Below are 25,263 nucleotides of genomic sequence, written 5' to 3'. Positions count from 1 at the left end.
GGTTTTCTAACTAATCCTATATGGTGTTCTGAAATTGTTTCCAATGTTGCCTAAAATGAGCTCTTCAAAGAGGCTTTGGTCTTCAGACCCCCTAGGATGTTGCAAGGAAAAATCAATTAATGTTCTAAAGCGTAGGTTATGCTTTGCTCAGGAAAGAATATTGAAATGGTTAAAGGCAAAAGCAGGCAAAACTGTAAAGAGTACATAAGCACTTGTTGACACAATTTAGGGACCAATTACTGAGGAAATGCCAAAGGCTCCCTGCCACTTTAGAAACTGCTTGGAGTACAGACCTTAAAAATTGTCTATCATAGATATTTTATTATTGTTCATTTGGAGAAATTTCACTATAGGGTTTCAGGACAAATTCATAGCAGTGTTAAATCACTGTACTTCTACCTTCCAAGTAGAAATTATTTCATTCTGTTAAGTCTTAATGTAGGAATCTACAATAGTAGTAATTGTATATAATTAAATTCTATAGAGTGGCATTCTCCTAGAAATTATAGCACCTATAAGTAAAGTAGAATAAGGGAGAAATACATTTATTCAGTGCTTATCATATACCGGAAACCATATATTACATAATCTAATTTGACTTCCTCTTATGACTCTCCAACATCCTTATGAGATAAGATTATCAATAATCTATAAATGTGAATAGATCACAAATTTAATGAAACAAGTTTCAGTGTATGATAAACCAGAATATCATCCTAACTTATTACACTTTTTCTATAGGGAAACAAAACATGCAAACATTTAGCTAGTCAATTTTTAAAATTGAGTCCAATAACCTTGTTTTATCCCGTACTTCAAAAAAACCTACTATCTAAATAACTAAACAATTTTAAACAACCTTTTAGTTAATTATTTTGAAATTGTATAGCCACAGCATTTGAAAGAATCTTAAACAAGCGGGTAAAATGTATCTGGTTTGGAGGTATCTGGTATAATTATCCTTCTACTTTGTATTTGATGAAAGTAATTGATGTGAGTTACCTTTATTAAATTATCCCCAAATCCTGTGAGTTATGGATTATTCACATTTTACAAATGAGGACAAAATTCAGAAATATTAGCATGATGCCAAGATTACATAGCAAGAAAATGGTAAAGGCAGGACCCAAATCTAAGTGTGTCTTGCTCCAACGCCCACGTCTATCTACTACTCCTTGCTGTAATCACAGCATGATTTTCTTTTAACAGATGATAGAAAAAAATTCCTTTGAATTTCCAACCACAAAATGAACTGCTTCACTGGATGTAGGGTCTGTTAAATAATTTTTCTTAAATGAGAATTTTATGTGTTTCTTATTTTTCTCCCTTAGGGAGTTGCAGAAGGAGCAAGAGAAAAGATTTCACTGTGATTTCCAAGTCATGCTGCATAAATCATGTCCCGGATAAATGCCATGGCATTGCACATTGCAGTGTCTGCTACACAAGAACACTGGTAGCATCATTTTGATTTAGTTTTTGTTTGTTTTTAGAAATGGGGTTCTCATTGTGTTGCCCAGGCTGGCCTCAAACACCTGGGTTCAGGCAATCCTCCCACCTCAGGCTCCCGAGTAGCTGGGACTACAGTCGCACACCACTGCACCTGGCTTCCCTTTGGTTTTTAAAGTCCTATTTCTACACTTTGTGATGGCCTGGCTGATCACCAGTTGAAAGATCCCATCATCCTCTTCCCACCCCCCAAAAGATGAGCTTAACATCGTTATTTAAACAGGCAAGTGTGGGCAGGTAGAGTCAAGTTGGACATTAATTTGGGCATTAGATTAAGACTTGAGTTTGAGTCCTGCTGCTCTTCTCGTAATGACAGAAACTTTGGCAAGGTTGCTCACTTTCTCTGAGCCTCAATTCCATGGTATAGAATAGTACTTCCCAAATTGTATTTCTTAAATTTCCAATCCATTTGAGGAAAAATACTTTTGTAAAATATATGAATTACCAGGAAAATTAAATAGAAAATGTAGACATATAAGATATGCACTCATTTTTTTAGATTATTAGATTCAACAAGCAGAAAATTTCTCTCTAAAAGCTTCTAAACAGCCACTTTTAATTTCTGTATCATCTCGCTGTGGACTGGAAAGAAAGAGTTCACAGCCTGCCACACGTCCAGGAATCACACTTCGAATAGCACTGATCTTTAAGGATAAAAGTCCCTTTCTTCTTTGAAAGGTTGTAGTTAGAATTCAATGCATAATGTATGTGAAAAGCTTACAAAACTGCCTGGCACATACAAAACATAAGGAAGTACCACCTCTTCAGTAAAATTAAACCCAGAACCTCTAAGGAATTAGCACCTGTAGACAGTCTCCTGGGAAAACTGGGAACAAAGTAAAGCCCCCTGACTAACGGCATTTGACTTCATGCCCCAACTTTACCTTCTCATCAAGATTTTCTTCCTTCTTTCTCTCTCTCTCACTCTCATTGCCACAGTAGCTCTCTCTCTCTTTCTATTCCCTTCCTACTGCCACCAAGATACTGGCCTCATAGTGGTGAAAAATTCCTGACCATGCAGTGTCAGAAACATAGTACTAGGACCATCAGCAACCCAGCTAACAAAGTATAAAGTCCTCGTCCTTACTCAACTTGTTTGTTGTTTGGTTCCCTAAGCTCTTTAGAATAGAGTTCTTGAGCCAGATTTGTGGCCATCTAGCTCTACTTGTTAGTTGTTATTTTGTCCTTAGTCAAAGGACAAAGGTCACTTAATATTCTAGCTCTGGGTTTCAGTTTCCTGAAGTATAAAATGAGGGAAAGAAAATGCCTGCCTTATAGGGTTGTTATGAAGATTAAATGAGTTGACATACATCAAGGGCTGAGTATATTACCTGGGACATAATAAGCAACCTGCTCAGTTGGTGTCAGCCATCGTCATCATCATCATCATCATTACCAAAGTGATCACATGGAACCTCGTGGGTCCTTCACTGCTCAGCTCCTGGTCAGTCCCCACACAGCAGAAGTGTCATTCTGAATGGCCTCTCAGAGAAACATCCTGCTAGACAAATGCTCCTGCCCAGGAGAGACCCTGCCATATCATCCAATTGACAATGGTCCATACTGTCAGATTCAATTTCTACTTGGGGAGACACTGCTTTTCCCTGAGTGGTTGGTACCAGGAATAATCTCTTTTAAGTGAGAATCCTTCCCCTGCCTGGAAGTGGCTTGGCCATACAGGCCTACCAGTCTGTCTTAACACATATCCCTACTGTAGCTTTCATATAACATGTAACACAATATACAATATGTTTTGATATCCAGAAACCATTTCATCACTGTAGGTTTTGTATTAGTTATCTAGTACCATAATCATGCTGTATAACAGACCACCACAAATGACACAACAATAAACATTCTTTACTCATGCATCTGGAAGGCATGCTAGGAGATTTTGCTGATCTTGGGTCAGCTAAGACATTCTTTTTGTCTTGTGCAGGGATTGGCTGGTTGTTGACTGACCTAGGATAGTTTCAGCTAGGATGACTGAGGTGACTTTTGCTCTACTCTGTGCGAGCAGAAGGATAATGCAAATACATGCTTATGGCTATGGTAGAGGACAAGAACAAGTGGAAACCCATAAGTGCTTTTCAGATCTCTGTTTGCCCCACATTTGTTAGTATCCCATTGACCAACCCAGGTCATAAGGCTGAGCCCAGAATAGGAGTGGGATAGCACTACAAAGTTAGGTGACAATGGACATAGGAGTATGATCATGAAATGTTAGTTCTACCTTCCATTATCTTATATTTCTGTCCAATCATATCAGAAAAACCACTTGTTGATTCATACTTCCAAGTCAGGACTGTCTATCAAGCCAAGGTGTTATTGAATATATACTCTAGGATTTCATTTTTCTGTTTGTTTAAACAGACTCTGTAGAATACTTTTTTTCTCCTACTAACTGAAAATGGAGCAACAGAAAATAGATTCATTTTTTATAATTGATATATGAACATTTCATGTCATAATTCCTAAGATAGTTTATAACTTCTATGGGGACCAGTCTTCATCCCATGGTATTATTGTATTCTCAACAAATGAACTTAACATCCAAGGAATAATACTAAAATTGCTACTTATTAGAGCTTAATGCTTTTCTCATAAAACTTGCAGAATTCAAAATAAGCTTTCCTACTGGAGGCAGACTCTCAGGGAGATTTTCTGTGTTAGGAATTTGATATTTTCCTTTCAAATAAGAAAAAGAAAAAACACTCACACACCTGTATTTTCTCTTTCTGAAGTTACTTCACAACTAAATGGAGTATTACTATTTCCATTTCTTGAGGGAGACAATTATTTTAATTTACATAAAACTTGGTGACATCTTAGACAAAGGGAAATATGTACTCCCCCTGCTATCAGTTAACTCTCCAGTTAGTGACTTTGTGGAAGGATTCCTGAAAAATATCAGTGATTTCAGAAAGGGTTCCCTTCCACTTTCAGGGGAAAATCAGAACCTCCTCATTCACCTTGCAATAAAGGAGCTACCTGGTCATATCTGTGGTTATGCGTGGAGGGGTGATGGGGGCAGTGAGAAGGGAAGGGGCCTTGTCCAGACTGCAGCTTGCTTGCTGTTGCTCTCAGCCCATTATTTGTGCTGAATAAGGTCAGGTAGAGGATTCCTTCTGAAGATGTGTGAAGCAAGGCCACAGAAATATGTAAAGGTGGTATCATGATGTCCTGTAGTCTCTCCCACTCTTCCCCATATTTATGTCACTGACTCACACTCTTGCACAGACACTTTATATTGCAATCCCTAGTATAGCTCATAACTCCTATTGGGACCAGTCTTCATCCCTTTTGTTATGATATTCTCAACAATTGGATTTTGTTTGACTCAGGTCAAAAAGCCTTGAGTTAGTATTTTAACCAAGTCACTTACAAGCTCTATGATCTTTAATATTTGAAGTAATTATGTGAATTTCCTACAATCCCCTCTTCATCACTGCTCTCTCTCTCTGTCTTCCAACTTTCTACCGCCTTGCTTCTTGGTTCTTTTCTTACTACTGTAGCCTCAATCCTCACAGGCATTGCCTATCCAGGAGAGAAAAAGAGGCACTGGAAGTAGCTAAATCTTAAATTAGAAGGTGGAACTTACTGTGGACATCTCTGCAGAAAAGCAGTAATGTGTGAGGAGTGAAGAGACACCAGAAGAAAGGAAGAGGGAGCATGGACTTTCATATTGAAGAGAAAGGGAGTGTGGAATTTTTTTGTGCTTTATTGGCATGAGACTCAGACTTTCAGAGAGATAGTGAGACTGAAATGACTTTGGTTTTTATGGAAATTATCATTTAACTTTGATCTTGAGGGAATGTCACTGAGCCAAGTTCTGAAGTTTAGGTTTTGGGGGAGGGAGTGGAGGCTGTGAGACAGAAGAGATGAAAAAGGAAAAGAATGAAGGAAATTCTTCATTCTGGGAGGAAGAAGTGTGTGTGTGTGTGTGTGTGTGTGTGTGTGTGTGTGTGTGTGGCAAAGGAGGTGGCGGACGCAGAGGTTAGGGAATTCCCTTTTCCTCCCTGGCCTCAGGAATTCAGGTTTAAAACACAAGAAGCCTTAGAGAAGCTGAAAGAAAGCTGTTCTTAATTGCCTCAGTTCCGTGCTAGTTATAAACACTGGAAAGAAAATGGGATTGAAGAATGTCTGGTAGAACAGCCACTGTAAACCTTTTATTATCATATTTGTGGCTTCTGGGGTATGACTTTAATGCCATCTTTTAAGATGTTACTTAAGCAATTGTGTTTAAATTTCAAAAACCTATCCCAAGTATTTCTTTTCTCCCTTCAGTTAATTTTCCATTTATATAAATGATTTCCTTGCTGCAGAAACTCATGCCTTGAGATGAATGCACAGTTTGAATATTTTCACATTTGGAGCAATCTGTTAATGACGTAAAATAATATATAGAGAAAAAGCAGAGCATTAGAGGGCCAAGGACCTCTGTAAATGTTCTGATGCCAGCTAGTCACAGCTGGCTGTGTGACCTTGGGTGAAGTCCTTAACTTCTCTAAGTCTTAACTCCTACATGTGCACTACATGAATGGGAAAGGCTTTCCAGCTCTAAATATTTGTTTCATAATTGGTCTTGAGGTCAATATAACACCTAAAACAAAGTTAGTATGAAATACAAGTCTATCCACTTCTTAGAGTCTGTGGACCTTATTTCTATAAGCAAATTAACTTCTCCAAATTCCAATTTCCTCATCTATAAAATGGAAATTGTAATACAGTTTTGTATCTATCTTGTTAGCCTTGTTGTGAGGTTTGCATGAGAAAATGTTTGCAAACAGTTTAGCATAGTGACTGGCACTTAGTAAGTGCTCCAAGGATGTAGGTTAAAAAGAAAAGAAAACAAAAGCTGCTGTGTTTCAGAGTCAAATTACTCTCTGTGGCCCATGTGGGTCCCTGTGGGCTCCCTGGTGTGCTCAGATGAACAATGGAAAGCAGAGTTAGCATAACAAAGATGATGATGAAGATTATGATGATGAAAACAAACCAGGCTCTGTTCAAAGTGCTTTATTTGTATCAACTCATTTAATCTGAATACAAACCCTATAAGGTAGATAAAATTATCCTCCCTATTTTATAGGTGGGGAAACCAAGAGAGTAAGCAACTTACCCAATGCCATACCTCTGGGAAAGTAACCCTCTACTTCCATTAGTGAAGTTGAACTCTGACACTGCCCCTGAAGTATGTTTTTAAAAAAGTTATTTCAAATCCAACCTTTTTGGTTTTTCAAGGATGCTCAGAAAGTTAGCTGAATAAATAATGTCCAAGCCTGAATCAACCCAAAATTTCCATGCCTGTATTTTCCCACCTGGTGCTAATGAACATGCACAAGGAGATGGCAACATTTGTCTAATGACATTAACTAATGCTGCCCCCTGCATGGTGATTATGAGTGGAGCTGTGCTGTGGCTTCAGCAAGCAGGTGGTGGAAATTCTTAATGAAGATTGCATTCAGATTACAGTGTTTGGATATATCTTATGATGAGATTTGCTAAGGGCTCAAAACCTTTTCCAATTGGCTCACTTATCCTCAGAGCTAACAGGAGGGCTTGATATAAAGAACTGGAAGCATGGAAAGAACTAAACGTAAATTGCATCAGAGCTACCCCTACATTAGAGACTGACTCTGAATGCTAATGAATAAGCTTCTGTGATGCTCTTTATGAAAGCAAAGTGATAGGGGGCAAAATATAGACTCAGAAGACCAATTCTGACTAAAGAGCACTGGCATAGATTAAGAGACACTTCATCTGTTGGGGAATGAGCAGTTTGCTAAGAATTAAAAACCAGTTTGTTCACTTACACATACAAGTATGTGTACAAGTATGTGTAAGTGAAAAACTAGTTGAAGGAATGGATGAGGTTATGAAAGTTAAAGAAAATAGTGACTTGCTTTCTATATTTAGAAGAGGAATTTATTGATGCTAATGCTGGGAGCTGAACTATTAAAAAATGGTTTAATAACAATGGAACAATTTATGATTTATTCCAGAGAAATAGACTGGAGAAGAAATATTCTCATTCCATTCTGCCTTGTATACATCACAAGGTCATGGTAAATATATATGTTAATTTTTACACATGGGTGCAGTAAACATTTTCAAATTCAAATAAATGTGTATGTGCTAAGTAGAAAAAATAAGTCAAGCAGAAAAGATCAAACACCTACCTTAGAATTTTTCAGAAATTCTTCCAGGCTTAAGAAGAAAAATTGGTCTCACAGTAATATCAAAAGGCTTAAAATTTTTATTTATTTGTAGTCATCTCTGTTCAGCTTTTTCTTAGTAATTTCTTCTACTAATTCAATTGCTTGAGAGGAAAGAGTTCATATTCAAAATTTCATACTCTCAGCAATTGCATTCGCATTCCACTACTCTGTTAATTGTATATCTACTTTTTGTTTGGGTTTAGAAGCTTATTTTAAAACCATAGTCCAACACTTTCCTGTATTGATTTTTCCCTATAGAATGTTCAATTTGTATTTCTCATTTTCCAAAAGAACAGTGAGTTCAATAGTGACATTTTTATTAGTGAGAATGTGGCAGATTAAGCCCAACTGCCCTAACTCTCCAAGGACAAGAATATTTAAGTGTCTAGAGTTGATTGTATTATTTTTCTCTGTTTAAGATTTGAATTTCTCCTTAATGATAAATATTAATTTTTGGTAGCTTTAGCTTAGCTACAAGAAATTATTGGCTCTAAGATGCTAAAATGATCTTTGTGTTCATACCCGCTAATTGTTAAACAGGAATGGCTTTTTATTTGAAGCAAAATGAGTTAAGTTTTACACCATTATTATATGCACACAAATACTATTATGGGCATGCACACACGGAGTTCCAACTCTATTATTAATTATTCATGCCAGTGGAAGGGAAGTAGAGAGAAATACCACGCTAGACACAATCCAAAACCCTTAAATACACAAAAATATCCTGTTTGATTTTTATTTGGAACTGGAACATTTACCAAAATGCTATATGGACGCTTAAGTATTTATTAAGCACCTGCTGTATGCGGAGCTCTAGGTAGCAGGGGACATTACAGAGTATAAAAGGGATGTCCGGTAAATTATGCATCTGTTGAGAGATCAAGCCAATCAAAAGGAGGAATAAGCTGCACACCTGTGATGCTACCTAAAGAGAACAGGGAATATAATATCAATTCATGTAAAATAATTACCACAAGCTAAAAATTTCATGCCGAGCCAATGAGATGTAGGGCAGGTTTCTTGGGTGAAATATGTCTTTACTCATAGTTTTAAGGAATGGAGGATCATTCCAGTCTCAAGAAGATTACACAGAGGAAAGCCCAAGTAAGGCCATTCCTTCTGGTTGCAGGATGGGTCGTGGTAAATGACTTTCCCAGGTCACAATGTGACAGTAGCAGAACACTGGCTAAAATTCCTGCTTTTTGATCCCTCATTCAGTGAAAGCATAGGTTCTTGGTCATCTGTGATTGGTATAAAATAGCATTTTGCCATGGAATTGTTTTCATAGCTATTTTGACTATGGCCACTTAAGACAAAACAGGTTAAATCAATTTCACTGAATTGAGTCACCGGGTGGTTAAAACTACAGCCATACCACGAGCCAGCAACATTAAACAACTTGCTACGCATCACACACACCACGCATATTTTCTCAGAGCTTCTATTTAGCTGGAATGCATCAGTATGATAGTGCAAGTTGTTGAAATATTAAAACATTTCTGTACTAGTTGGCAAATAGTTGGTTCTCTGATCCCCACTCCCATACTTTTAACCACCACAAGACCCACTCAGACTTCTCCTCAGTAAGACCTTATAATTCAGTAACTAAAAGGGACACAGCCGGGCCATCCAGGACCCTGCTTCAGCACTGTGGCAAGCATTTGTTCTGATTGGCCAGTGCTGCGGTCTGCCTTCATTCTGATTGGTCAGTGCTGGGGTAATGATTCATTCTGATTGGTCACTACTGGTGTTATACAAGTGGTTATGGTATTACTTCTACCTTTTCTCTTCCACTCCTGTGTTCCTGTTATTCCCTCTGCCTCCAACGCTCTTTCTCGTCATTTCCACCTGTGTGTCACAGGGAACTGGCTTACACGATCTACACGATCGTGGGAGCTGGTTACGCAGTCTCCATAAGGCTGTTGTCTCTACATGTGGCTGGAGCTTGAACTCCATGGGGAAGACAGGAAGAGAAAATCAGGAGTAGGCTGGCACCTCAAGCAAAAAAAGGACCGTGTCCCGTCTCGTTGCTTCTCACCTTACTGATGAGAGTATCCTTCAGAAGCTGAAGCCCTTTATCCCAGAGCTAAACACACACTTGACCTGGAAGTCAGACATGCTACAGAAGACCACAGGGGAAGGTAGAGCAATGGCAGGCCAGCTGCTGCTTCACGCCAACAAAGTGAGTTAGCAGCCCCACACACCTGTGCACTAAGAAATGGCCACTGCTTCCCTTCTCCTTGGGTGGGAATCTCCCTTGTGCCCCACCCAGCCTAGAAACATAGAAGAAAGGGAATTCTGGGGAAGGCAGTTCAGTCCAACCAAGTGGACATATGGCAAAGCCATCATACCTTGGTATCAAGGCTTAGGTCCAGTGCCATCTCCTCTCTGTATCCTTTCATTTGCCCAGGCAGGAAGTCCTTGTTCCTCCTCTGAGTCCTGAAGGCCCTCTATCAAAACCACATAGTGGCACTTAGCATGCACCTAGCATTTTAAACAGTAATGGTCTGCCCACTGTATATCCACCACTTGACTGCAACTCCTTTTTTTATTATTATTATTATTATTTTACTTTAAGTTTTAGGGTACATGTGCACAATGTGCAGGTTAGTTACATATGTATACATGTGCCATGCTGGTGTGCTGCACCCATTAACTCGTCATTTAGCATTAGGTATATCTCCTCATGCTATCCCTCCCCCCTCCCCCCACCCCACAACAGTCCCCAGAGTGTGATGTTCCCCTTCCTGTGTCCATGTGGTCTCATTGTTCAATTCTCATCTATGAATGAGAACATGCGGTGTTTGGTTTTTTGTCCTTGCGATAGTTTACTGAGTATGATGATTTCCAATTTCATCCATGTCCCTACAAAGGACATGAACTCATCATTTTTTATGGCTGCATAGTATTCCATGGTGTATATGTGCCACATTTTCTTAATCCAGTCTATCATTGTTGGACATTTGGGTGGATTCCAAGTCTTTGCTATTGTGAATAGTGCCGCTATAAACATACGTGTGCATGTGTCTTTATAGCAGCATGATTCATAGTCCTTTGGGTATATACCCAGTAATGGGATGGCTGGGTCAAATGGTATTTCTAGTTCTAGGTCCCCGAGGAATCGCCACACTGACTTCCACAATGGTTGAACTAGTTTACAGTCCCACCAACAGTGTAAAAGTGTTCCTATTTCTCCACATCCTCTCCAGCAGCTGTTGTTTCCTGACTTTTTAATGATTGTCATTCTAACTGGTGTGAGATGGTATCTCACTGTGGTTTTGATTTGCATTTCTCTGATGGCCAGTGATGGTGAGCATTTTTTCATGTGTTTTTTGGCTGCATAAATGTCTTCTTTTGAGAAGTGTCTGTTCATGTCCTTCACCCACTTGTTGATGGGGTTGTTTGTTTTTTTCTTGTAAATTTGTTTGAGTTCATTGTAGATTCTGGATATTAGCCCTTTGTCAGATGAGTAGGTTGCGAAAATTTTCTCCCATTTTGTAGGTTGCCTGTTCACTCTGATGGTAGTTTCTTTTGCTGTGCAGAAGCTCTTTAGTTTAATGAGATCCCATTTGTCAATTTTGGCTTTTGTTGCCATTGCTTTTGGTGTTTTAGACACGACGTCCTTACCCATGCCTATGTCCTGAATGGTATTGCCTAGGTTTTCTTCTAGGGTTTTTATGGTTTTAGGTCTAACATGTAAGTCTTTAATCCATCTTGAATTAATTTGTATATAAGGTGTAAGGAAGGGATCCAGTTTCAGCTTTCTACATATGGCTAGCCAGTTTTCCCAGCACCATTTATTAAATAGGGAATCCTTTCCCCATTTCTTGTTTTTGTCAGGTTTGTCAAAGATCAGATAGTTGTAGATATGCGGCGTTATTTCTGAGGGCTTAGGTATTGATGGGACGTATCTCAAAATAATAAGAGCTATCTATGAAAAACCCACAGCCAATATCATACTGAATGGGCAAAAACTGGAAGCATTCCCTTTGAAAACTGGCACAAGACAGGGATGCCCTCTATCACCACTCCTATTCAACATAGTGTTGGAAGTTCTGGCCAGGGCAGTTAGGCAGGAGAAGGAAATAAAGGGTATTCAATTAGGAAAAGAGGAAGTCAAATTGTCCCTGTTTGCAGACAACATGATTGTATATCTAGAAAACCCCATAGTCTCAGCCCAAAATCTCCTTAAGCTGATAAGCAGCTTCAGCAAAGTCTCAGGTTCAAAATCAATGTACAAAAATCACAAGCATTCTTATACACCAATAACAGACAGAGAGCCAAATCATGAGTGAACTCCCATTCACAATTGCTTCAAAGAGAATAAAATACTTAGGAATCCAACTTACAAGGGACGGGAAGGACCTCTTCAAGGAGAACTACAAACCACTGCTCAATGAAATAAAAGAGGATACAAACAAATGGAAGAACATTCCATGCTCATGGGTAGGAAGAATCAATATTGTGAAAATGGCCATATTGCCCAAGGTAATTTATAGATTCAATGCCATCCCCATCAGGCTACCAATGACTTTCTTCACAGAATTGGAAAAAACTACTTTAAAGTTCATATGGAACCAAAAAGAGCCCGCATCGCCAAGTCAATCCTAAGCTAAAAGAACAAAGCTGGAGGCATCACGCTACCTGACTTCAAACTATACTACAAGGCTACAGTAACCAAAACAGCATGGTACTGCTACAAAAACAGAGATATAGATCAATGGAACAGAACAGAGCAACTCCTTAAAGTGAGGATTTGAAGACAGTCACACTGCCCAACACATAATGAGCAGTCCATAAAAGTTCATGGAATGAATGAGAGAATAAATGAATCATTAACTGACTGACCTAACACAGATGGTGTGGGAAGCAAGATTCAAGGGTGATATATTAGCTATCTATTACTGTATAACAATTATCCCCAAACATAGCAGCTTAAAACAACATATATTATCTCATAGTTTCTGAGAGTCAAGAATCTAGGAGTGGTTTATCTGGGTGGTTCTGGTTCAGGGTATCTGTTGGCTGGGACTACATTCTTTTGAAGAGTCTGGAGGATCAGTTTCCAAGTTCACTTCCCTGACTGTAGGTGGGAGGCTTTAGTTTTTCATCACATGGGCTTCCCATGGCGCTGCTCACAACATGGCAGCTACCTTCCCTCAGAGTAAGCTCCAGAAGAGAGAGGCGAAGCCATATTACCTCTTATGACATAGTCTCTAAGTCATACACTGTCATTTCCACTTTATCCTATTAGTTAGAAATGAGTTACTTAGTCCAATCCACACTTGACAGGAAGAGAGTATTACACAGAGCATGAATACCAGGAAGTATTGGGGGCATCTTAGAGGTTACCTGGCACAGGTGGCAAGAAGGAAGGCTTTAGGGAGTGTGGGGCCATGCCATAGAGTTCTTTAGCTAACCTCCAAAGGATGAAACTTACTTTCCACTACTTAATATGTAGAGTTCTTTCCTTTATTCATTTTTTTGTTAAGTCTACTTATTGGAAAGAAAAAAAAGGCTTTTAACCCCATGCCAAAGATTGGGTTTTGTGGAAATACTGTCAAAAACAAAGAGAGGGAATCCAGTTTTGGATCTAACCTTTCTTTACTAAAAATATTTTCCTTTGCTGCAGCCAAGTTTGATTTGGCCTCTTGAAGATACCAGTGAGTAAAATAGAGTAATTCTGATTTCTTTTTTTTTATTATTATTATACTTTAAGTTTTAGGGTACGTGTGCACAACGTGCAGGTTTGTTACATATGTATTATTTCTCTCTCTCTCTCTCTCTCTCTCTCCCCTTTCTTCTGTCTCTCTCTCCTTTCTTCTGTCTCTCTCTCCTTTCTTCTCTTTCTCCTTTCTTCTCTCTTTCTCCTTTCTCTCACTCACACACACACACACACACACACACACACCCACCCCTCTAATCCTGAATTTGTCCCATCAAAATATATATTGTCACCTAGTCTAGGGCATTCCAGAGTAGCTCTAAGTAGTTGGGCAATAATAATAGATATATTTGCTGAATAGATGATATAGCCAATAATTTATTGAGCACTTACTACACACCAGGCATTGTGCTCAGAGCTTTACATATGTTATCACACTTAATGCTCACGACAACCCTGTGAAGTAAATACTACTGTTTCCTCATTTTTTACACAGGAGTAAACCACAGCTTGGAGATTATGTGATTTGCCTAAGATCACACAGCTAGTTTGTGACAGGGCCCAGCATTCTGCATTCCTAACCACCTCATTACACTGCTGTCACCATACATCTGTGGGACACACTAAGTACTAGAGTAGGTGTGTATGTTTGTCGCTCACTCTTCTCAGCATCCCTTTGAGGTATGTATTATTACCCCCATTTTATGGGTGAGAAACTGAAGTTCAAAGAAATTATTATTTGCTTTAGCCCACACAATAGCAGCCCAAGGTTCCAGTCTCACAAGGGAATCAAAATTCCATTCTCTTCCTACTAATTTTATTGCCTTCCACCTCATTGGTTTCCAAACTGCAGCTCATTACACACGAATGCACAGTGAAGTCAATTATAAGTGGGTCCCAAACAGCATTTAAAGAAATAGAATAGAATAGAATGGAAGGGAAGGGAAGGAAAGAAAAGTAAATGGAAGGGAACAGAATGGAAAATATCATGCGTCACACATAGTGGCAGTAAGCATTGCTCAGTAAAAGTTTTATTTCAGTTATGTACATACGTATGTGTGGTTATGTGTGAGTGTGTGTGTGTATGTGTGTGTTAGGATATAAAATGCATTTCTTACTTTGGTTGGCATCAAGAAACAATGAAATGCTCCTGCTCTAGCCACTCCTTCTGTCCTCAAGGTCACTGCCAATAGCTTATCCTCAACGGACACACTTTCTGCAGGCCTTTGCAATTTAGAAAAGGGTAGTTGTAATTCTTGGTGTGCTTCCTTGAGCCTTTTCTATGAAAATATAATTATTAAAGAAAAGCATATCCAATTGGTTACCCTTATCCCAACTTACTAGGTGTATAAACTTTTTCCCTTTCTAAGGGTAGCCTCCCTGAATTTTACTTTCTCCATTTTTAAAGTGGGATAATCACGTGCTCACTTGTTGTTGCAAGGATTGAGTGAGATCGTGTAAACTTCTTAACACACTACCCAGCACAGTAATCATTCAGTGAGTACCAGCAATTGTTAAGTTATCTGCATAGACTAGAGGAATCTTAAATAAGAGTCTTGTGTTTGAGGAAATAAGAGGGTGAAAGGGGGAGTGTTATTTTCTAGTTTTGAATCCTTCAACACCATGAAAAGATAAAATAACATAACTAGGTCTGCATTCTTTCAGTTCATTTATTCACCAGACACTTATCAAATGCCTAGTATGTGCCAAGGAATGGGCTAATTTACAGTGATACAGTAAGAGTTTTCAAAAGGTAGGAACCAAATTTATAGACACTGCTAAAGGTTGGGTTATATTAGAAGAGTAAAGTGATAAATCACCGTGGCACCTTATTTTATGATTGTAGACAAGAGTGATCATCGCTTGACTCTTATACATAAGCTCTGTCAAATGAACTTCAGTGATAATAGCCTCATTTTTTAAAGCCATGTCCATCTGGCATCTGATTGATTGAATCTGATTGAATCCATTTTTGTAGCTTGGTTCTTTCTCTCTGCATGCCACAATTGGGAGGATTGATTTTATTTGTACATTGTCTTTTCTTCTTTCCAATTCCCAGGTCCCTCTTTTTCTCTCCCACCTTCTCCCTCATCACTGATTCTTCTCCTATGTTCTGCCAATTATCTCTAGCCTTAATCTACGGTACTCACATCTTGTTCCTGTACACATTTACAGTGAGAGATGGGTTAGCGAAAAGCAAAGTGTGGATCTTAGGGAAAAAAGGCCATAGAACACCAGAACACTGGTTGCTATAGCTTTGCTTTTTTTGGCAGGGGATGGGGGACTTGCTACACAAAAATTGTTCAGACTTAGGGTGCATGTGGATAATTTAACACTACATCCCAAAGAATCATGTATTAAAGCAGGGCCTCAAAAATGATGGTTGGATTTAATTGAATATAAAAATGATATTTTACCTTGCGTTTATTAAAAAGTCACAAACAGTAATTTTTGCATTTGTGTGCCCCTTTAAATCTCACACAGTATTTTTACATGCCTTGTCTTTTATTTCACACATTTATATTATGCCTCCATGATTCATAAAACCAATGAGAACAAAGACTATTTGATGTTCCAAGAACCCCATGAAATAGACAGAGCAGGTATTTGATCCTCATTTTTCAGACAAAGAAACAGCCTCAGAGAGATTGTGTCTTGTTCAGTGTCACTTAGCTAGTAAAGAGGAAAGTTAACACTGGAATCCTAGACTTGCACAGCACGTGCTCGCCGATCTGCACCCGAGGTTCAGACCTGCCTGGAGTACAGTACAGTGCCGTGCACACCGTGGCTTGGGTCCTGACTGCACCATAAAGCCTCTGTCTGTACTGTGGAGCTTGGGTTGCAGGAATCCCCATGGTGGCAAAGAAACAGACCTCTGTGTGGACTTTACCAGGGAAGCCTTGCTAATTTGCAACAGCTGGGTGGTGTTCCTCGTTAGTATCTGTCAGCATAATTGTCACATCATTTCACTGTGGTGGCAGGCACTCAGCTCTAAATCACCTGGATCCTAGTTTTTCAGTGGCTTCAAGACAACGAGGAGAGCCGGCTCTTAAGCCTAGGGGTTCCCTAGGCAAGATATCCCTCCCCACGAGTCTGTAACTGCCAGGCTATGAGGATGCCCTCAAAGACCCTACACATTGATTCCTCTTCCCTAGCCATGAGCAGCATTCCCTGGAAACAAGTTATTTCAGTACCTTGGTGGAATAAGAGGGGACTGTGTGTCCCCCCTACCATGATCCTATGGCCACTGACAGTATGGACAAGATCCTGGTGGTGAAGGATAGAGCTACCATTGTCATCATGAATTATTACAAAACACACAGGACAGCATTCAGTATTTTGAGCAACAAACAAGGCCGAATGATGCTGGCTACACACCCCACGAAGTTCCTCCCACCAAGGAGATCAAGAACCTTTGAGTGACAGAAGCATTCCACAAACCAAACGGGAAGAAATAACGAAGAAAGAGAGGCCGCTTGAATGACCCTGTCCACTCCAAGCAGCACCCCGACTCTTTCCCTAAGCAAAAACCGAGACTGGTTCACTTCTGGTTCTTCTACAGCCTTATCTGGTCCAAATTCCAGCAAAGTCCAGTTTCAGAAATGGGGATAAAGACAGACTCATCAGATAAATGGAGCAGTTTTGAACAAAGACCCCCATACTTCCACCCCCACCTCAGGAGTCTGCTTCAGGAGGCTTTGTCACCTGGGCTACAAAGGAGCACAGTGGCCCTTCCCAGTGGAACTGACCTATGCTCAGGTTATATCCAGGCCAACTGAATGGCTGTGAATCCAGCAACCTTCAAGCCACCCAAGATGAACATTCCAGAGATAGAAGGACAGAAACGATTGCCACAGACCACAATCTCAAACTTGAATGTGCTTGAACCTGCTGGATTCTAGAGCTCTTTCTATTACAGGGATTCTGGATATAGAGTGTTTTGCTCGCTACTCCTTTTTCATCTTAGCGCTGACCTAGGAAAGGTATTTTTTTTTAAAAATTGTTAAACTGAGGCTAGATCTAGAGACACAACTGGCTTTGAGAAGCATGAGTACAAAGTTTGTCTTTATTGTATGGAAGAAGTCATTTGTACTGCTTTAATTTAAAGTCAGACTAAATAACCTCAGCAGTAATGTATTATATTTCGTATCATTTACTCTAGACAAGAACGTTTATCACTGCTTATTAGGTAAATGATGTTGTCTTAGTCAGTTCAGGCTGTTACAACAAAATACCGTAGACTGGATGGCTTATAAACATCAGAAATTTATTTCTCACAGTCCGGAGGCTGGGAAGTCCAAGACCAAGCCTCCACAGATGCAGTGTCTGGTGAGGGCCTACTTCCTGGTGTATAGACAGCTATCTTTTTGCTGTGTCCTCACATGACAAAAGGTACGAGAGAGGTCTATTTTATAAGGGCACCAATCCCATTCATGAGGGCTATGCCTTCATGACTGATATGGTTTGGCTGTGTCTCCACCCAAATCTCATCTCTAATTGTAATTCCTACAATTTCCATGTGTCATGGGAGGAATCTGGTGGGAGGTAATTGAATCATGGAGGCGGGTCTTTCCCATGCTGTTCTCGTGATAGTGAATAAGTCTGATGAGATCTGATGGTTTTAAAAACGGGAGTTTCCCTTCACAAGCTCTCTCTCTTGCCTGCTGCCATACAGTAAGATGTCACTTGCTCCTCCTTGCCTTCCATCACAATTGTGAGGCCTCCCCAGCCACGTGGAACTGTAAGTCCATTAAACCTCTTTTTCTTCCCAGTCTCGGATATGTCTTTATCAGCGTGAAAACAGACTAATACAATGACCTAATCACAACCAAAAAGCCACCGCTGCTAAGTACCATTACACTGGTGATTAGGTTTCAACACAGGAATGTCAGGGGGACACAAATATTTTGCTATAACAAATGTGTAAGTTGTTCCAAAACCCAGGCTTCTTGATGCCTGTAGCGCTATCATTGTGAGCATTAACAAATTATGGAGCAGAGATGTTCACTGACTAGTTTAGACAACTTTGGCCCTCTTGACCCTGTGAAGGTACTATGTTCTGGCCTTGTCAGTTAGGGGGACCTAGGATCTGTTTGAGATCTGGCTACAACTAAAAGCTAAACGTAGAGCGTAGCAGGGAATCCTCATCTTTGCTGAAACTGGACTCTCCTCTCCCTGCCTTGTTAGTAGACCTAAGGGATCACTTTGTCCTGCAGCCAGTTCTTAATGTGGTACCTCTAGGGCTAGTGCTGTTGGAGAAATGCTTCTGTTTTATGCATTACACAGAGCAAACACTGGGCTTACCTATTCTTTCTTGTATTTTACAGTGAGATTAATTTAATTCCAACTTGGTTGAAAATTTTGTAAGGGAGAAAATTTAGTGTACTGGTTTGGTACAGATAAAAGGAAGCTAAAGTTTTTTTTAAGAAAAGAAGATAGTAACTATAGTTATAGTCTTGAGGTTCATGTGAAACTAGTGTTATCCTGATTGATTTCCTTGCTCATCTGAGGGCTTAAAACCTTTTTTTGGGAGAGGATGGAGGAAATTAGAATTTTTCTATAGAAAAGCATTTTTCCCCAAAAGCAGACCCATACCTTTATATGCTCACATAGCTTATTGAGGAAAGAAAATAGGAATCTACATTTTTATTTTTACATATTACATATGTATTCAGTCATTGTCTTGAACACTGCCTCAAATACCTGTTGTTTTTATTTTGGATAGTATCTTGTCTACAAAAGTAGCTGACCTTTCCATAGAGAGATCTTAGAGTCTAAAATTATCAAGACAACTTATCTGTGTCTTCTTTTATGCTTGTATCTCTCACTTGTTTTGGCAACAAAAACCCTTACTAACATCTCAATAAAAAAGGAAAACAAAAAAAAAAAAAACCTGAGAATTTCTACTCATATCCTAGTTTTTTATTCACTCTACCATATTTACTACCTGTAAACAAAATTTTTTTGTTGAATCTTTACATCACTCCAACATGAATAGTATCACCTTTCTCTTATGGAATAATAACTTTATCTCTTTAAATCTAAGACCCCATTACTTATAAAGATACATCATTATGTTATGTGCCACCACACAGGAAACAATTACCTAATCCAATTAAACTATGATATATCATTAATTGTGGGACACATCCTAATTTCAGAAAGAGCATAATATAAAGATATTTGTATCTTAGAATTGATTAAAGTGGCTAAATCAAAAATGTAGAGAAATAAAATAATTTTTACCAGAATTAGAATTGAGTATATAGTTAAAAAACTAAAAAAAAATGGCAGCCTCCTCTTTTTCCTGTAAAAGAAAAGATGGCATTACCATCTACATACATAATTTTAAGTTCCTTAGATGTCAGTTTGCTGATTTAAATGGTAATTGTTAACCCACAGGATTGTTGGTTGTTACTGGTTCCAGATTCTCTTCTTATAGATGTGGGCAGAAGAGGATAACTTCTCCAGTAAAGAGGCAACAACACTGCACCTCTCAGAAGAATGTAGGGAAGGCTTCCTCACTGAAAGATGTTCCTCAGAGTTAGGCATTGTGTGAAAAATAAGACCTGGTTATGCTATTTTCCCTAGAGAAGGGGTTGCAATCTTGAGGGAAATGTTTCAGTATTCTTAGAACTAGAGGTGGATATAATATGGACTCTCTAGATTTAAAAAAAAAAAATCTGGCGGAAGATGTTTTATTGGCTAATACATGCATAGTCCCACTATATTTGCAAAATCAATGATTTCCAATCTTTCCTGGGGAAACATGCCTCCCTGTTTATCTGGGATAGCCTATGTTTATGTCTATTTTCCCAATTACTATTGGTACCATTCCCTTTCAGTCTCAGAAAGATCCTGGTTAAGACTGTAAATTACTTGGTTACATTGTCTTACTTCCTCCTTATCCAGCATTAGTGTTTGAGTTGCCTTGGGTTTTTGGCTAACCTCTCATCTGCATACATTATCTTATTTCCATAGCTAGATCCTTCTCTCTCAAGTTGCAGTAGAGGTATCCCCAGGACTCTGCTATGATATCTCAGGGAATACAAGGATCCATAAAATAAATATAGGGAAATTTATAAAGTGTAAAATCATGTTTAAATACAAATGTATCATTTAATAGAGGAAAAACTTCAGATGAATCTTAAAGATTTAACATATTTAAACTTTCAAGGAAATTTGGATCTCAGGAGCTTTCTTCTTTTTTACCCTAGACCCATAGTTCCCAAACTGTGCTGAGGCACCTCAGGGAACTACGGTGAACTAATGGGGCATCATGGGATACTTTTTTTTTTTTAGGAAAAAGTAGAGATATTCAATATCAATAGGACAGTGTGAAAACTACTAGCTCAGGATAATATTTTCAGTATTAGATTATACTACATTTCTTTTGATAACATCATATCTTTGATAAGCTGGGTTTTTAGCAGTTGCCATGAAAAAAAGCAACTAATGCATGAAAATAAATGTAAAACAAATAGGCAGTATGTGAGTCCAAAGTTTTAAAAGTTGTTCAGTGCCTAACAGGTGTATATCCCATTAATAAGTAATTGTAGTTATTTAAGACTTGAATATAAATATTTGTATTGTTATTTAATGGCTACTTGTTATTAGGAAATAAAAATTAAATGATTTTGGACCTATCTACTTAATAAATGGAATTTTGTAGGTTTCTTTTGATCTGAGGTGCCTTGAGAAAACTGAGACACTAGGTTTTCCATGAACATAAAAACGTCTGAGAATATCTGCCCTATGTCATGAAAAGTACTTATTCAATCTTTCCTGCCATTTGGTATAACTTTATGGAAACGTTTGAGAGGCAGAGTACTAGATAATAATATCCTTAAGCACAGAGAACTACATGTGTGTTTCTCAGATCTGCCATGATATCTAGCTGAACACATTGAAAACTATAGTTGTTAAATATTTTTCCTTGTTTTGTTTCCCATATGTTTTCATGTGCTTCTAAGATCAATTCTCACTTACTAACTTAGAGCTGTGCAGGAGAAGGAATATCAATACAATAGAGAATGGACAAACAACAGAAAAAATATTCTTTGGGAAAAATCAATGAAATCGTTACGCTTATAGTCATACCAATCTAAAAGAACAGGGAAGACACAAATTACCAATGTCAAGAATGAAAGAGGGGACAAGATACAGATGCTAAATACATTAAATGCTAAAAACATTAAAGGGATAATAAGGCAATGTTATGAATAATAAATTGGCAACTTGGATGAAATGACCCAAGTATTTGATCCAGTATTTGAAAAATAAAACTTTCAAAAACTGACCCAAGAAGAAATAGAGAATGTTAATAGCCTTATACTACTTTAAAAAATAAATTTGTAATTATAAACCTTATCAAACATATATTTTTAAAAATCCAGACCCAGATGGCTTCATGAGTAAAAGTTTACCAAACATTTAAGGAAGAACTAATACTAGTCTTATACAAATTCTTTCAGAAAACAGAGGTGTAGAAAATACTTCCCAACTAATATTATAAAGCCAGTATTACCCTTGTACTGAATATAGACAAAGAAACACAAGAAAACTACAGACGATTGCACCTCATGAACACTGGCAAAAAAAAAAAAAAAAATGCTTGGCAAATATTAGCCAACCAAACCCAACAATGTATATGAGATAATATGTCACAAGAAAGAAACAAAAATATGTGATTATCTTGTTAGATATAAAAAAGCCATTAGGCAAAGTTATATCTCAGGTATGATAAAAACTCTGAGGAAATCGGGAATGAAATGGAATTTACTAGTCTGATTAAGGGCACTTTCAAGATAAAACCAGACAGACAATAGTGACAAAAAACTACAGCTAAGATACACAGTGGTGAATGCCTCGATGCTTTATATCTAAGATCTAGAAAAATTGAAGGATATCCACTCTCAAAACTTGAACTATAGGTCATAACCAGTGCAATAAGGCAAGAGAAATGAATAAAAGCCTTGCATATTGGAAAAGAAAATATAAAACTGTTTTATTTGCAGACAACATATTTATGTATGAAGAGAATGCTTAAGGAATCTAAAGCTACTGAAGACAAATGAATTTGGTAAGGATACAGGATACAACATCAATATACAAAAATCAATTGTTTCTATATACCATCAATAAATAATTTAGAAATTAAGATTTAAAAGCAACTCCATTTATAATAGCATCAAAAATAAAATACTTGGGAATAAATTTAACAAAATTCTGCAAGACTTGCACACTTAACTACAAAACATTGCCAAAGGAAATTAAATACCTACATAAATGGAGATAAATCATGCTCATGGATTAGAAAACTCAACATTGTAAAAATGTCAGTTCTCCTTAAATTGATCCATAGATTCATTGTAACCCCAATTAAAATCCTTGTGAGGTTGTAAGAGATGAAATTGATGAGAAAATTCTAAAATTTATATCAAATGGTAAAGGAACGAGAATAATCATGACAATTTTGTGAAAGACTAAGTTTGGAGGATTTATACTACCTAATTTCTTGATTTACAAAGCCACAATAATCCAGATTCTGTGATATTGTTTTAAGTATAAATATAAAAATCAGTGGAACAGAATAGACTTCAGACATAAATCTTTTTATGGCCAATTAACAAGGCAATTCAATGGAAAAACGATAGTGTCTTTTAACAAACTGCACCAGACACCGGATATCTATATAGAAAAAAAAAATAAATCTTGACCTTACCTCAAACATTACACAAAAATTAATTCAAAATGTGCCATAGACCTAAATATAAGAACTAAAACTGTAAATATTCTAGAGAAAAAAGGGGGAAAATATCCTTTGTGACATTAGGTTAAGCAAATATTTCTTAGAACATATATACGTACGAACACTAAGCCATAAAAGAAACAATTGGTAAGTTGGACTTTGTAAAAATAAAAAACTTTTCCTCTTCTAAAGACACTGTTAAGAAAATGAGAAGCTAAGTCACAGGTTTGAAAAAAATATCCAGAATATGTTAAAACACACACACACACACACACACACACACACACACACAACTTAAGAAAAACAACAATACAATCTTAAAGAAATTGGTGGAAGATTTGGACACTTCCCCAAAAGTTCTATGAAGTAAGTTCCCATTATGGCCAAACCTCTTAATGATGAAGTGATACTTCCTGGCGGGAACTCATCAAAGGCCTGATGGAGGAGCCCCTTACCTGCTCTTCAGCAATGTGTAAGATCATCCAGAGAACTTAACTGGAGAACATCCCAGCTCTACAGTTGGTAGAACCTTTGATGTCAGATGTGCTTCTGACTTGCTTTGGAATACAGATTTCCTGTGGTCACAAAGTCTCTCCATTTTGCAAAAACCTTTCTGGCCCTGGACAGATTTTATAGTAACCACAATCTCATAGGCTCCGGGATGTTTCAATCTATTTTTCACTTCCTTTTGTTATGATGTTTACATTTTCCAAGCTAGTAATTAGGAAACATAGTCTGAGCCACAACCTGATAATGAAATCTAAACTTGATGGATACTCCCCATCTCCAGACCACTTCCCACACTTGCAGTAGAATATGAACTTCATGAGGGGGGTGATTTTTGTCAGTTTTCTTTACTGATACATCCCAAGTACCTAGGAAAATGCCTGACACATAAGTATATGCTTAATAAATGTTCATCGAATATGAATACATGTTACTGCAAAGGTTATCCTGAAAGTGCCAAGATACGTGGTTGTTATAAGACTTGACACAATTTCTACCCTTCTCCAAATCTTCACCCAGACCTATTATTTTAACAGTGGATGGATTTATTAAAATGTTAGTTTGCAGATTTCCTGTGGTTACAAAGTCTCTCTATTATGCAAAAACCTTGCTGGCCCTGGACAGATTTTATAATAAATCTGTAAGTCTGACAGCTTTATCAGAGACCAAATAGCTTAAACAAGATAGAAGTTTTTTTGTAATAAAAATAATAGCAAACTCTTCTATAGCTTTATACCAACTGATAGCTTTATATATTTACTTATATTACCTGATATAATTCTTACAACAACCCTATAAGGAAGATATTATTAATATCCTTAATTTACAGATAAGAAAGCTGAGCCACATAGAATTTTAATAATTTGCCCAAAGAGACACAACTAATTAAGTCACAGATTTGGATTTGAACCCAGGCTCTGGCACCAGAATCTATCCTTTTAACCACTATACCCATGCTCGTCAACTTCCAATGTGCATATGAATTGTCAGGAGATGTTTTTTAAATGCGAATTATACAATTCAGTGGATGGGTCTGGGATTCTGCATTTCTAATAAGTTCCCGGGTGCCGCTGCTGGTCTAAACACCACACTCGATTAGCAAGGCACTCCGTGAAACCACCTCTTTCATAAACATGCAGACTGGTAGGCAGTCCAGGGTTGTGGGATAGTGTCATTCCACAAGGTGATCCATGATCCAAGTGTCTTCTTTCTTTTCACTATCCACTAGGTGTTGTTCTAATCCACATGGTCAGTAATGAACCACCACCATGTCTATGTTCCAGTCCTTGGGAAGGGGAAAAGAGAAAGTGAAGAGCAAGCAGCTTCCTTTTGAGGACATGACCCTTCTGTACACTACTCATTAGCCAAACTTAGTCATGAGATCACACCTAGCTGCAAGGAAGGCTGGGAAATGCAGTCTCCACTGGACAGCCACTCAGATAAAACTCAGGAGATTCTATTGCTTAAGTGATTTTTTTTCAAATGGAAGAATATAGATTGGTGAGGCAACTACCAGTCTCCAACACAGTAGACTTGAAAGCCTTTGACTATTTCATCACATTTTGTTATGTATTTCTTGTTAGTATGATCACATACATTTCCCTCTATCTTCT

General features: G+C 38.0%; 1 protein-coding gene and 1 pseudogene across 1 annotated transcript in view, besides 1 other annotated feature; both read left to right on the top strand.

Moving 5' to 3' along the window:
* SLC24A2 (solute carrier family 24 member 2) overlaps positions 1-25,263 on the top strand; it is an 800,438-nt gene that overhangs the window by 333,231 nt on the left and 441,944 nt on the right. The window lies entirely within an intron of this gene.
* Positions 6,153-6,992: an enhancer, noted in NCBI's record as "OCT4-NANOG hESC enhancer chr9:19967668-19968507 (GRCh37/hg19 assembly coordinates)". NCBI's record gives its function as "activates a minimal SCP1, AML or CMV promoter by ChIP-STARR-seq in primed H9 embryonic stem cells {active_cell/tissue: H9 hESC(primed)}" and the evidence as "EXISTENCE:reporter gene assay evidence [ECO:0000049][PMID:30033119]".
* Positions 6,652-7,464, top strand: GLRX3P1 (glutaredoxin 3 pseudogene 1; annotated as a pseudogene).

Source organism: Homo sapiens, chromosome 9, assembly GCF_000001405.40.
Source record: "Homo sapiens chromosome 9, GRCh38.p14 Primary Assembly".
In the NCBI taxonomy this organism is placed as follows: domain Eukaryota; kingdom Metazoa; phylum Chordata; class Mammalia; order Primates; family Hominidae; genus Homo; species Homo sapiens.
This window is presented reverse-complemented; position numbering and strand designations above follow the sequence as displayed.